The sequence below is a fragment of the Homo sapiens genome, chromosome 2, assembly GCF_000001405.40.
Source record: "Homo sapiens chromosome 2, GRCh38.p14 Primary Assembly".
Lineage (NCBI taxonomy): Eukaryota > Metazoa > Chordata > Mammalia > Primates > Hominidae > Homo > Homo sapiens.
The window spans coordinates 49907826-49923634 of NC_000002.12; the positions used below are offsets into that span (position 1 = coordinate 49907826).

Here is a 15809-nt window from a genome sequence, read left to right on the forward strand (position 1 = left end):
TGATTTCTTCTGTTATAGAATTAAAATTAGTTATGTGGGATTTAACGAGGGACAATACTATATTGTATGACTAACGTGTGTTTTGGCATAATTTTGCTGTATGTAATATTTTTACCTTAAATATTGACTTTCGATCTTAATTCCAAAGAGAGTCAATTCTTTCCTATCATGATAGACCTTTAGGATAGGAGAAAATGTTGTCGAGTATTAAGTAAAGTCAGCTCTGCCGGTGGTATAAAACACCAATTCTAACCAGATCACCTCTAACAAAACCATACTTAGCCAAATGCTAGAAAGCGATCTGTGTGTTTTGGAATGGTGAGAATTCTTAGAAGGATCGGCTTATCATTCCTTTAGGTTTTCCACTATGTGAATCATTTTGTTTCCTCAGTAAGATAGTTTAAGTAGCACTTTTTGTTGACTGCAGATAAAATTATCCGGCCCCTTTTTAATACTCCAGCCTCCTTTTGCAAACTGTTCCTTCCCATCCTGGCTCCCCCGCTAACAGTGCTCCTCCAGCCTCGGTGATTTTCACCTGGTTGCTCGTATGTACCAGGCTTCTCTTGACCCAGAGCTTCAGCTTACAGTGCTCTTCCCACTGCTTTCACCTGGTTAGTTTCTAATCTTCACAGTTAACTGAAGTGCTTAGTTAACTAATCATACTTTGGGTAACTTCTTTTATCCCATACTCATAGTTATTTTGTTACACAAATAATGATTGTAACACATGATTTATGCCTGTGGTTCTTTGATTACTGTTTGTTTCTCCCATGAAATGTAAACTCCATGTGGGCTCACAACTATATATTGAATGCCTAGTTCAGGGCATAGCACATCACAGATGTCTCACAAAGATTTGAATAAATGAATTTCTTAAAAAAGCAGTGTTCTTATCTACCGCGGGTGTGAATACAAAATGATTCATAATTAATTATATTATGAATAATTACTATATAAAAGTTGCTCTAAATGCAATTCAAGAGATAGGAACAGTGTGTCATACCAATACACAGGAGAAGAAAATGACTCTAATGTCTGCAATTATACATTTTTTCTGTTGGAGTTGAGATTTGAACTTATAACTAACTGAGAAAATATATCAACACCTAAGTATCATCCAAAGCAGAATAAAATAAATGATAACCAGAAGCCTGAGCAAACATCTGTGTGAATGAAGGAGTAATTAATTATAACTGCGTTGATCAGAGAAAGCTTAACTGAAGATAGTAAAGTGGGCCTTGAAGAAGGACATTAAGTTCTATTGGTAGAAAAATTGGTTAAAAAATTGTTACTTTTAGGAAAAGTAACAAAATAATGAAAGTTACAGAGACAGGCAAGGGCACGGAAAATTGGCTCAGTTTGAAAGGAGGAGAGGTAGCAAGCTCCAGTGTAGAATGTGGAGCCATTGAACTCCTTGGAACAGGAGAATACTGTAATCAGAAGTGTGAAGGGTAGATCAGAAAAATGATCAATGTGGAGGAGAGATAGCAGTTTTAAGGCTATTATTAAAAGTATAGACAAAAATAGTAACATTCTGAACTAACCAAGGTTATTGCACAGGTAGAAAACTAGACTTATTTGAGGTAGTAAACCTAGAAAAGAGAGGTTTTAAAAAAATTTTATATGGAAAAGAGAATTTTTTAGAATCCCACATGGAAAAGAGATTTTAAAAAATCCCTTAAGGTGCCATGCGTAATTTAAAATATGTTTCTTTGATTTTCATTCTGTGTTCTTAGGAGGATATTAATGCTATTTGCCTATGATTTTTAAACTGGAGATAATAAAGTCGGTTTGTTGTGATTGAGATACCTAAGGAATTAGATGTCTAACAGGCAATTGTCAATGCATGCAGCTCAAGAGAATGGTAAAATGCTAAGAATTAGGATAGAGAGTGGAAACAGAGGATGGATCAGCTTACCACAGAGCTGCAGATGGGCTTTCTACTATAGCAGTCCACAAAATGGGCAAGAAATAGAAGTGTTCTTGGAATGGCTTTAGGAACACAATTAACTACAGTTTGAGTTTTTGTGTAGGCAACGGGACAAGTGTATATGAGAGGAGATTAATATAATGATGGAATAGGATAGAAAGACAGCTCAAGATATTATAATTGAGGCAAACAAGGTTAGTTGGAGTGACATACGGAAAAGAGGAACAATTAGGATACACAGTTGGCCCTTGAGCAATACACGCGCTAGGTGCACAAACCACCTGAGAAGTTGAAAGTCCACATATAATTTCAACTCCTCCAAACTTAACTATTAATAGCTTACTCTTGACAAGAAGCCTTACTGATAATATAAACAGTTGAATAACATGTATTTTATGTTATATGTATTACATGCTGTATTCTTATAACAAAATAAGAGAAAATGACATGTTATTAAGAAAGTCATAAGAAAAAGTAAATTTACTAAGTACATGCTGTTCATCATAAAGGTCTTCAGCCTTGTCATCTTCATATTGAATAAGCTAAAGAGGAGGAGGAAGAGGGGTTAGTCTTGCTGTCTCAGGGGTAATAGAAGTGGAAGAGGTAGAGGAGGTAAGGGGAGGCAGGAGAGGGCAATACATTTCATGTAACTTTTATTGAAAAAAATCTGCATGTAAGTGGACCCATGCAGGTCAATCCCATGTAGTTCAAGGGTCAAGTGTATAGTCATTAGTGGAGATCTCAGAATTTTGATGTAAAAAATAATGCATTTCTGTTTAAAATTTTTTGGGTATGTATGAATTATTACTTAGTAACTGAGACTGAACGAAGATGGAGCCCCTTGGGATGGAACAAGATGAGGAATTCTGAAGTCAGGCTGTTGAGAGGATTATTAATAGAAATAATGAAATTCACAGAGATGGTGGCAAGGCTTAAAAGAATGTTCTAGGCTAGGTGTTAAAGCAAAAATAGAAGGCGAAGGAATTGTTTAGTAAATGAAAATGTGTAAATGTGTGGTGTAAAACTAAAAAGTACTGAGAAAAGTGCTACCTCTTTCTCCAGGCCTGTAAGATAAAGGCAGTAGAAGGCAAGCTTCATAGTTGAGATAATAGACCAGAAAATACTGTCAGCAAAATATAAATCCTTTGCTGATCTTTTCCCATTGACTTTTGAATCATCTGTTGCTCAACTACATCAGAGAAATAAGATGTGAATATTAGTTAAAATGCCAATGCCAAGCCAATTGTATTGATTCACTTATTCAAAAAAAAATCTATTGACTAGCCACTCTGTGCTAAACATTGCCCCTTTGCCACTAACTTTAAAGTAGTAATTTTATCTGATAAACCCACAGGCCAGCTGCAAGATTTACATCAGAGAGGTGGAAAGAAATCAAGTTTGGGCAAGGAATGATGGCTTTTCTTTTTCTGCTTAAAGGGTTTATATTTCTTGGCTATGAAGACAGGATGTGGGAATTAGAGTCGGGGCACCAGGCTTTAGTCCTACCTTTGCTGCTAACAGGCAGTGTAATTTAAAGTAAATTTCTTAATGTTAAGCCCCTGTTTCCTCATCTACAAAATAAGAAGTTTTAAAAGTATTTTTCATCTCTTCTAATCTATGATACTAAATTTAGTTCCCCTAGTTTCAGGAGAGACATGACCTAATATATAAAATATTGATTTATTGCTAGCAGTCACTTTACATTTGGTTTCTTAACCTTTCTGGCTCTCACTGTTATCATTTACAAAATGGAGATTTAAATCTGTTGTATCTACCTCACAGGAACATTATAAAAATAAAATAGGATGATAAATTGGAAAGTGCTAGTAACAAGAAATATCATTACCGCCAACACATTCCTCAAATGCATAACTATGTTTAGATTATTTTGCTTCATCCTTCTCTCCTTAACATCTTTTGTATTAGTTAAGACACAGGTGCATGTTACTCACTCATTATTGAGTATTTGGTTTTCTTCTGTTTATTAGTAGCCTTTAAAGAAATAAAAGTTATGCTATTTGCCAGTTGCTCCATTTGTAATATGATAAAGCTAGAAGTACCTTGTTGAATTATTATAAATTTCTCTTAACAACGTTTTTCATATCCTCATAACCACAGAATAAAAATAATTGAGAACTTGCTAGTTAATTTGGCTAGTTAGGTTTTTTTGGTAACAGTTTCTAAGTCACTTAAAGATTTCTAAAACCATTGTGTCCCTAAATTTTTAATATATGGTTACGAGTTGTATAGAGATGTTTCGGTCCATGGCAGATTATATATAGGATGGTGGTATCATAAGATTTTTACTGTACCTTTTCTGTTTAGACATGTTTAAATTATAATTTCCATTATGTTTCAATTGCCTATAGTATTAAGTACAGTAACATCCTGTACAGGTTTGTAGCCTAGTAGCAATAGGCTATACCATATAGCCAAGATGTGTAGTAGGCTATACCATCTAGGTTGTGTAAATATACTCTGTGACACAGAATGATGAAATCGCCTAATGACACATTTCTAAAAACATATCCCTGTTGAATGCATGACTCTGTGTGTGTGTGTGTGTGTGTGTGTAACATCAGGACTTTGAATGCCTGAATCTATTTGGTAATATCATATACAGAGGGTTGTGGTTAAAATCGAATGAAATGCTATTTGTGCCATTACTTTGTAAGCGATAGAGTATTCCACAAATGCTTGTAATCATTAGCTATTAAGCCACATAGAAAATTTTAACTACATGCTTCAGTATTCATGAAAATTAATTATAGTCAGTCTTATTCACAAGTGTAAATTGAGTATTACATTTTAAAATCAGAAGTTATCAGAAGTAGAGTGTCTCTCCACATAAAATATTTGTTCAGTAACATTACCATTTAAGTATAATGAGATTTGATGACAATTAAAGCATACAGAAGGAAAAATGATATTGTATAGAGGAATGGATAAGATTTTACAGAATGAGTAATAATATTGGAACAGAACTAAGATGTCAAAATTCCAGCTACTTACATTTTATTTTAATAAAAGTAGATAATTTGCATGAGTCTTGAAAGGCAACAAATTCAATTGATAGACTTAATTCTCACTAACAAGAAACAACGAAGTGCTGTGGTAATGATGGAAGGAACAGAAAATCTTGGGGGATTTATAATAGAGAAGGAAGGGAACTTTTGGGACAATTAATATATATATTATAAGCTTTGGGAGAAAAACTTCGTAAAAATACAAAGAAAATATGTATTATCCAATAGCCAGATGCTCTGGAGGTAAATATGGCTAAAGACAAATGAGAAATACTAAAAATAGAGTAGAAACTCTAAAAAATATAAATTTAGAGATAAGATTTAAGAGGAAATCAATGAAAAGACATCAAAGGTAACCGTGGTGGCTGAGTTCAGAGCTCTCTGATAGCTCCCATTTTAAATCTGCACCTAGGAGCATGGCTACCTCATCTCTGCCTTCTGCAGGCAGGAATGAGAGGCAGCGGAACAAGGAGGAGGTGAGAGAAAATGGCTTCTACTAAAGTAGTGGAGGTGTCTTTATAACATGACTCAAGCTCAGTAAGAAGATAGTAACTCTTTTGCATAATTTGGTCCAAAATTAAGCAAACAGTTCAGGTTTCTTGTAAGGATTGCTGACAGAAGAACAACATGCACAGTGTGATGTTGGATTTTTTTATACATAAACCAAGAGAAATAGAAAAAGAGAAAAATAAAACTGTATCCAGAGTACAAGACCTCATGGATGTCTCCACTCTTTCTCCATTTTCAGTTTTTGTAAACTTCTCCTGCAAAAAGCCACAATGGCTTTGCTTTAAAACCCATACCAGGGATCAAGATTTCCAAGTCACAGGAGAAGCAAAACAATAAGGTTAAAAGAATTAGTTGAGGGAGAAACAGGAAGGGTGTAAAGAGGTAAGAGGGTATCTTTGTAGACGACTCTCCACCATCCAATGGAAAGCCACACAGACACAGGCCAAGTGTCTGTAGGTGAGACCCAGACCATATGTAGTGTACCTGAGTAAGCTAAGCGATGCCAAAGGCACAGCCTCTTCCACCCCCTCTCCTGACTATAAAATTCAAACGTACCACTGGGAACATGGAGTAAAGAAATGCTTAAACTTCTTAGAGGTTCATTCTGTTTTTTTCCACAGACATGAAAGAAATAGATTCCACCCCTATTCCCTCCTAGCCAATGACAGGCACCTGAGACAACTTCACAGCTGACAGTAGAACATAAAGTGAGTTATTTTGAATAATCAAAACAGCTGAATCTGATTTCCATGACCACATTTTCCCCATCCACAGAGGAGGGTTAGGACACATCGAGGGGTGCCAGGTTATATTTAGAGAGAATACTCTCCAGAATTTGAACTTCAGCTGCTACATGTGACACACACTGGGATAAATTATCCCATTAAAACTGAGAAAAGGATACAAGTTCGTAGACTATCGCAATCATTTTGCAGTAAATGATTGCAAGATGAACAGAAACTAGCCCTAGTGGCTTTAAGGAAATCATCATAGGACCATAGGGGAGAGAAAGAGACTTCTCTGAGAAAGGAATCACATTATTTTGAAGAATGTGTTGAACCAATTTTACTGGACAGAGAACTGAATGTATTTAGTGTAAGTACAAAGTCACACACACAAAAACTGTAGCAATGTTGCAGATGACTCACCCATATACCCTAGCATGCATCATTCTGGAGCACAATAACCCAGTGGCTTCCAGCTGGAAACACTTGCAGCTCTTTGCTTGAGGGCTTTCTCTCAACCACAGAGCTTACTCAGTCAGTAGGAAATGCCACACAAAGTACTTTGAAGTTAATTATCATCCTTACCTTCTTGCCCTCTTAATAGCCCTTTACCTAAGACTGATAGAAATCGATGGATACATATTTCCATTCCTTGGCTTTCAGGTGGAATAATTCTGAAGCATGCTTTATGCTGTCTCCTAGAATTCCCAAGTAGTTTTCCTCATGGCAGTAACCTATTATATAATCAATGTTAATAGGCTTTTTAAATTTCCCTGACTCATTTCCTCACTCCCCATCTAGTGCTCCCCCACAATCACTTCTCTGAAGAGCATTCTGATATTGAGAAAGCTTATTGGATAGTGGAGGTAAAAGTCAATTATCAGGGCCCTCCGAAAATGGTACAAAATAACAGAGATTCTGGAATGGGCTAAGCAGCCAGAAATCACACACTGATGCCTAAGACCCTTGAAATCAGATCCCCAAAAATAGGGTACCAGTGAGAATTGACGTTCAAGGTAGGCAAAGAATAAATGATTTCTAAGTCCCTTCTTTTAAAAGTTTATCTGTCCATGTCAAGGCCAATTGCATTCCAGACAACGTGAACATAAAAATTATACTGGTTGTTCTGACATTTTTTAGGAAGATGTGATACTAGAAGAATGAAGGAAGCAAGTTTTGTCTTGATTTCAATTGTAATACTCAAAGGATGTATTTAATTCTACAGTGATGAGCTTGAAATCAAAAGAAGAGTTACTTTTAAAAATATATAGTTTGTGGCCACTTTTTAAAAGAAGTGGTAATAAGTAATAAACAGCATTACAAATTAAGTTATTCCTTTTTCCAATAGATTCACTGACAAATTAGGAGGAAATCATTTTGTATCTTGATTGCAAGGCAACTGAGTTTCTTATGAGTTTTGGTAGATAAGATGGAAAATTCCCACTCAAAGATTATTAGCAGCTTGATATATATTATCTTTGCCATTGGATATGTGTTATGCCTATCAAACTTGGCACTACTGGCATTTGGACAGGACAGTTGTCTGCTGGGGTGAAGGCAGGGCTGTCCTGTGCACTTCCGGTTGTTTAGTAGCATCCCTGATCTCTACCCTGTGGACATGAATAGGTCTCTCCACCCAAAACATGACAACCAAAACTGGGTCCTGACATTACCAAATGTCTCCTGGGCAAAAATGCCCCTGGTTGAAAAGCACTGTTTGCAGGGAGGTCTTTTTGAGGCCTCCCTCAGACCTCTTTCCTAATGAACTTATTTTCATGTAAATGTATGCATAATTTGCCAATGATGAATATTAGGACGTGATATGAGAAAATCGAGATATAAATTTATCTCAACTGATCAATCTTCAATACAATGAAACTTCTCATGGTTAAATGTAAAATACTATATTTATATTCAAGTAATAAGTGTCTAGGTACAAGTTAAAGGAGACTTTACCTGGAAAAAATCTGATAATTTTAGTTGATCATAAATTCAATGTAATTCAAACAAGTAATATATGCTTTTGAAAAATCATGAAATCTTAAGCATCATTATCAGGGAGAAAAAGTTCAAATCAAGAAAGGTGAAAAATCCATTGTATTTTGGCTGATCGCCAAATGTTGTTGTTTGGTATCAGATTTTGTGAACAGGTTCAGGAAAAGGTTACTAAGATAATGAGACGCCTAGAATCTATATAATTTGAGTAATGGCCATGATAAACCAGAATATTAAGATTGGAGAAGAGAAAATCCAGGCAGTGTTTGGGGGCGGTTGATGGTATTGGAAAGGCTGTCATGTGGAAAAAGGGTATATTCTATTTTGCACAAAGAGAATTAGAAATCAATAAGTGGAAGTTAAAGAAAGCTAGATATACGGAACCAAAATTATCCTATCATGAAATTGATTGTCTTGCAAAGGAGCTACCCTTCCTTTAGCCATGGCTATACAATGCTTTGTCTGAGACATTGTAAAAGTGTCTTCTATGTTGGGAAAAATAATAACATAAACCCCTACAATAGTATTAATTTTAAATCTACAAATTTATGATAATTCTACTCTCTTAGTAGCTGCCTAGCACACTTTAATTTTACCCTATTAAACAGGTGAACTTTAACTTTTATCTTTTAGTAAAATATTGAACTTTATAAAAGCATTTAAGTGCATTATGTTTTTCATTCCTCACAATCCTATAGGTTGTCTCCTTATCGTTCTTTTATGGCTGAATAAACTTAGTATGATTGAATGATTGCATGAAGTCCCACAGCTAGTAATTTTCAAATCTAGTATTTAGACCCACTTTGCTCGAAATATTGTCCTTGTGACAGATCATTATTAAGATAATTCTACTTAACTGAAAGCACACTGTTCTAATCAGTAATCATCTGAAATTTCACAGACCAGAAGCATTCAATACTTCTTTTATTGATTGCTGTTTTTACTGAATGAATACTATGGTTCCATATTCTATGTTTCTCAAGAAGTTACTTTCTCCTTTTTATTTAAAGATGACCACATATTTAGGGGTCAATACAGTATTTTTCATAGTCTAGCTGCCACTCTCAAATATTGGTGACCTCTACATGCTTAAAGATGGATGCTTTGTTGACTTAGCCCTTGCTGCATGTTAGATGTTCACTGACTATCTTCAAGGTGTTAATCAAAGATTTCAATTCTTGGAGAAGTTTGCCCTTAAGTGACTATTAAGTTGTTCAGAAGAGTAGACATATGTGGGATGAATGGGGTGATTTTCATACACTGGGCCTCAATAAATAATTGAAGATTGAACTTGTAAAAATGAAGCAAGATTAATTGCAATAAAAATTGTATAACTGGACATTTATTTATAGAGACGGATACTGTAATGGTTAAAGTTAGTTCATGCCATCTCCTTGATGCTTTTTTTTTTTTTTTGAGACAGAGTCTCGCTCCGTCACCCAGGCTGGAGAGCAGTGGCGCAATCTTGGCTTACTGCAACCTCCACTTCCCAGGTTCAAGCAATTCTCCTGTCTCAGCCTCTTGAGTAGCTGGGAACACAGATGCCCACCACCACTCCTGGCTAATTTTTGTATTTCTTGGCCTTCTTATTACTCGCTGAACCATTCATCTTCAGAATTATTTCTAAAAAAGTTTTGTTTATGTCTAATGTCTGTTTTAGTGATTCTCAATCATTTGGGAAACTTTGAAACCCTTTGAGGATTTGATGAACCTAATGAACACTTTTATCGGGAAAATGCTCATTTACATATACCTGCCAAGTTATTTTATGTATAAATATATACTATATATAATTATTTTATGTTAAATATTTAATACTTATATTAAAATATTAATTTTAAATATATATATAATAGCAATTATATATATTTACATTAATATATCTATCCATTATATATACATATATATCTTTTACATATATATTTACATTTATCTATCTCTATTATTGTACATATAAGTTAGTAACCCCTGATGCCTAATCACTGGGCCCTGGGCATCTATGCCCTCTATAGGTTAAGACCCAAAATCCTTGGTCTGATTACTAAGTTTTATATAGCAACCGCCTTTGAAGTGCCTACCTATTTTTAAGGGAAACTAAATTATATATCCTTTAATTTAGACATTAACAAAATGTGGATTGTCATGAATTAATAGCAATAAAGAAATAACAAATATATCTAGACACTGCAGGAACAAAACGAATTAAGCATTCATGTTCAGACTTTTTACTGTTGAAGAAAAAAAGTGCATTTTCATCATAAAATCATTTTCAAGTGCCAGGGTTTTAAAACAACAGTTTCCAACTGTTGAACTAAAACTTACTTACTCTGATAAATCATCTGATTTCTAAAAAGCTAATTTTCTTTGTAAGAAATAAATACAGTTTTATGGAAACAAACACTACGTTCTTTTATATATTTAGATTTGTTTGTTTTTTTCCAAATAAATAACACAATGTGAGAGTCAAAGAAATTAGGCAAATAGTAACGAGTATGTGATAGTGTTGGAATTTAATCACAGGTTTACTTAACTTGGATTCCATTGTCTTTTATAGAGAAAAAGCATATTTATGAAATTAGTATTTTAATATTGTTTGCAACTAATACTGTATGAGTTTATGGTTTCTGGCATATCAAGATGAACAAATATAACAAAAGTACATTTAATGGCTACATCTTTAAGTGTATGAATATAGAGGTCTTTAATGACTAGTTAAATCCAGAAAAAAGAGAGTCAACATTCTTCCTCTATAATATAAGGATGGGTCTTCCCTTCAAATGCAGCCTTCTTTACTTTCCCACTTAAGCACGAAATGGTGCCGCATATAATTTTTAAAATCAATAAATCACAGTTGTATTAAGAAATATTTTATTAACAAAACAGTAAATTCCACTTGCTTAGCATTTCCAATAATGGATAAATTGGCCTTGCAACAGAAAAACAAACAAACAAAAAAAGAAGAAGAAAACCCCTTTGATACCCAATCACACAAAGCACTAGAAGGGTAGGGTTATGTGGCCTTTCTTTGATGTCTTAGGGATTGACCACTTCACACGTTATTGTAGTATTTGTTCTTTTAAAAAAGGCAACACATTACATGGATAAAAAAGAAGCATAATCAATCAGAAAAGTTACAGTCTAGAGATGTAATCAAATTTATGCCAAGTCGTGTGAAATCCTCAATCAACTGCAAACTATGCAGGGAACCCTGATATGTTTGGTATGAAGATACTTGGGATTCAAGTCATTTTCTCTTTCTAACTCTGTTCCTCTCTTTTCTTTTTCCATTGAGGAAAAAATAATTTTTGCTAGAGTTTGTGTAAGCCAATAATATTAGAAATAATTTTGCTGATAATAAACTATATCAATCATTGCATGTAACTTTAAAATTTACGCTGGGGAGAAACATTGAAATCAATCCCAAACAACACATTTCATAGATATACTGCTTAAAATTACCATTATTCAATTTATTTTCTATTATATTTTAGAATCTTTCCAGATGGAAACTGGTTCAAGCTTAATAGATAAAATAGAAAAGCAATCTTAAAAAAAAAAACCCTTCAAGCTGTAAATTAGTAGTTTTACACTTCCCTTCTTATTTAACTGGCTTTCCCTGAGTAAGACTGAATGAGACGGGGGAAAAGAAAAGACTCGTGAATTATTTAATGTGGCAAATTAAAAAAAATGAAAATCTAGAAAAGAAGCAATGGATATTAAATTTTCATTTTATACCTTCTACTTTCTGGGTCATAAAAAGCCACTAAATTTCTTTGTACACAACAATTACTTGGCAACCATAGATAGTGGTGATTTGCTATGAATTATACATATTTCTAAGGTGCTGTATGTCTGAAATCCAGGCCACTTCTTGGCTTTTTTTTCATCAACTAAAGTATCACAAAAGATGTTTTGCATTTTTTGCCTTTGCTGATTAAAGCTAATTGGAAAGATATTCTTCTCTTCTACAAAATTTTTTATCGTTCTTTTAGAAGGTATTCAAGTAATGCAACCAATTTTTCCTGAAACATCAACTTGCAATGTAATAATGCATTTTTTGCACTACCTTCTCATATTAGTAATTTATTGCTGTGAACATCATTGAATAATATGCAAAACAAGTGTATAATCTATACTTTTCCACTACTTAATGTGTTAAACTAAAACTATATTTAATGATATATATGTAAAACCAGAAAAGTTAAAACATAGTCAATAATTAACAGAGAATGATTTTTTAAGTGGGTAGTAATACAGAATCAAAAATTACTGAAAAATACTTTCTTAGTCGAGAGAAAGTGTTTACTTTCCAGAAATGTTCATCATGCACATCAGATTCAGAGATATATATATTATTTTATTAGAAAGAAAGTTTTCAATTGCAGCAGCCAGAGTTAAGGTGTAGATTAACCAATTTTGCTTCCATAACCTGCCCACATAATGGTTCTTATTCATGCAGCAGTATATCAGTGATATTCTATTTGATAAGGAAAGGTTCATTTCTTTAGGGACTAAAATCTTCTTAAGGTTACCTGGGAGCAAGATCTCAATGAAGCAAATCACCCCATTTGTCATCAATACCTTGGCACAACCCTCTTCCTTCCTGCTTTTCAATTTGTCAATAAATATTTGCTACTGTATGCACGTTTGGATCTTCCAGCATATCTGATGGATTGCTGTGGATTCGTGTGTGTGTGTGTGTGTGTGTGTGTGTGTGTGTGTGTGTGTGTGTGAAAATAGTGAATGTATGTGGGAATGTGAGTATTTCAGGGAGAAAAGATTATAAGATACATATGTATATATGTGACTTTCTAATTCACACCTTTCATACAAGTACTAAAACTTAATTGCAACAGAATGAAGGCTGTACATATAAGAAAAGAAGTAGCTGAGTCTTTGTATATACATTCATACATATCTTCCTTAGAATAAACACTACACTGTAATTTCTTTAAAAAATAAAAGTAATTGTGGCAATTTATAATGGTGGCAAAAAAAAAGAAAAACCCAACTGAAATAATTGTTGCTCTGATGTCATAAAACTCCCTATACTTAGCAACACTTATAACATTGAATTTACCAAAAATGGCTGAAGAGCAGAGATATATTTTGCATTTTCTATACAACAGGCTATAAAACGTCACTTATCACAGTCCAGAAAGCACACAGAGATGGATTTTATATAAACATATGTAATAACATAATAAGCGTGCATGAAAATTTCCCAATGATTGCATCTATGCCCTCTTGTTTTTGTTTTGAAATTTTGTGTGAAAACGTGCCTTATATTTCACATTTTTGAAAATAAGGCCTCCATACTTTTTTTTCCTCTCTCACAACCAGAAAGGGGCTTTTTGAATGTGTTCCTACACAAGTCTTCAAAAAAGCCAGCACTTTGTTTCAAATGCAAGTTCCAACCACTGCTCCAGTTGCACCAGGCGGCAAACTCTTAAAGGTTTGCAGGTTGAGTCACTCAAAAGGACAGTCTTCTCTGGCAATTGGACTGACTTCTCAGGAAAGCGCTAGCACTTTGGCTAAATCCAGGATCATAGGTAGCTTCTTTTTTGTGTTATGTTTTGTGTTGGTTTTTGTGTTGTGCCTTGATGCTGTAGTACTCCTTTGCTTTATGAATGCGTGCGGTCATCACTGTCTTTTAGAAATGTTCCAGCAACATAAAGACAAGCAGAGTAAATGAAAACACTGTGGATGTTAGGGAATTTATTGGCCCCTGTTTTTTGTTTTTTGTTTTTCTTTTTTGAGAAACAAGAGCATGAGATACTTGTTTTTATTTTTTAAAAAGTCTTTCCTTCCTGATTGCATTCCCTGTCTTCTTTTGTATGTGCTTCATAAAAAGGAAAGTAAATAAGTTTATATTATGTCTCAGATAAAATGAAGACTATTTCTATACAAGTGTCCATTTAAGATCTTGGGATCAGACATAATACTCTTTATCCTTGTTTTTCTTATTTTTGTTGGAGCTTTTCGCACTGCTGGGTTGTTTCTCCTTTACAACAGCCCCATTGGACTGTGCTGAGTTACTGATGTAGTTTCGACTCTCGTCCACATGGTATGAGCCTTCATCCCGGTTTCTGTACTTGTACATGGCATAGAGGAGGATAAGGATGCACAGGGCGGCAGCGGCTACTATCCCAACGACCATACCCGTGGTGCTGCTGGACTCCCGGATCACTTCTGCTGAGCCTGGATACGGCTCTCTGCCGCCTGCTCGGGTTGGGTTGGCTATAGAAAAGAGGATGAGAACAAACACAAAGTGATCATTGAGTTCACTGAATACCAGAGAGCTATATTAACATTTATTATCTAATTCTAACAGCACCTATGCTTTAGGAAAGGTATGCTATTGATAAATGTAGCCATCCCTTTGCCTCATGGTTACTAAAAACTAGGGACTGTGATTTAAAGTTCTCTGGGAGATTTGTTGCTGTGTCTTCTTTCTTCACAAATCAATTTTGTTCACAGAGTTTGGTAAGCATTGTCCCAAATAAACTCCAATTAGCTCTAAAGGGCCATGTGGGTGACTTAAGTAAAAAAAACCCACAAACCCAGCATAAAGAAAAGCAGAACAGCCCTACCCTATAATACTAGAGGGAATCATAAGAATCAAATAGGTGTTGCTCTAGAACATAGGTCTAACTCTAGACTGAATCAGGACAACTAAATTTAGGATTACTTTAGAAATCATATTCCCCTTGTATTTTAAAGAATACAGTATTGAACAATAAGATAATCCATACATTTTAACTGTCTGCTTTTTAAAGTATAACTTTAGTTACATTTTTATAAATAAAAATAGACTAATTTCCATTTTGTTGGAGATTCATTTGTTTACATAAGTATGTGTGTATTTTATTAATTGATTGGGGAGCTCCCAAGATGAACTTTGGAGGAGAAAGTAATAAAATATTCTTTCTCAGTTTTAAATACAGTCTAGATTGATTTTTTGGTCAAAACTCTGAACTACCTAATAGATTAGATAATAATAGAAGGCTGGCTAGTCTAGTTTTATTCAACTGACAAAACCCTTCTTCAGTCTTCCCAAAGTATAAATAAGGCTCTTTCTTGGATGAGACCAATGGATTTTGGGGTGCCTACGTCTTCTTGAAGGCCTGGTCAGGCACTGAAATTGATGATTGATGGGGAAGAATGGACCTGAGATTTAATTGGTAGATATGAGGAGAAGGGGCAGCTCTTTTCCCCTATATATAATAAACTTTTTTGATATAAAAGGATAGAAACTGTAGCGAGAGAAGAAGATTCTATCCTACTCTGACTGTAGGTCATTTTTTCCTTGTGAATTGTGTTTTCTGTTTTTCCCTGAATCTCTATCCTCTCGCTTGTCTTACATAAAAATATTACTTTTCAGATGTAATGTATTAAAAATGCTACAACTTTCAAAACACTATTCTTTGCCAATTATGTATAATGAACAAATAATCTCATGATTCCATATATATTAGATAAGAATGTGTGTGTATGAGTGTGTGTTCATGTATATGTAAGAACTGAAAACTCAAGAAGACTAAAATTGTGCTTTTATTTCGCTACTACTAAACATCATTTAGTAATTAATTTTAATATTTCTGCAAAAGTTCTTGTTAATTA

The 15809-nt window shown here is 34.3% G+C and overlaps 1 protein-coding gene across 21 annotated transcripts in view; it reads right to left on the minus strand.

Annotated features, from left to right (window-relative positions):
- Positions 10678-15809, minus strand: part of NRXN1 (neurexin 1) — a 1113630-nt gene continuing 1108498 nt past the window's right edge. For all 21 annotated transcript variants that reach the window (NM_001330096.2, NM_001330087.2, NM_001330083.2 and 18 more), the window contains one exon: positions 10678-14426. In NM_001330096.2, the coding sequence (NP_001317025.1) occupies positions 14119-14426 (308 nt within the window). In that variant the 3' untranslated portion in view covers positions 10678-14118. The remainder of the gene's footprint in view (positions 14427-15809) is intronic.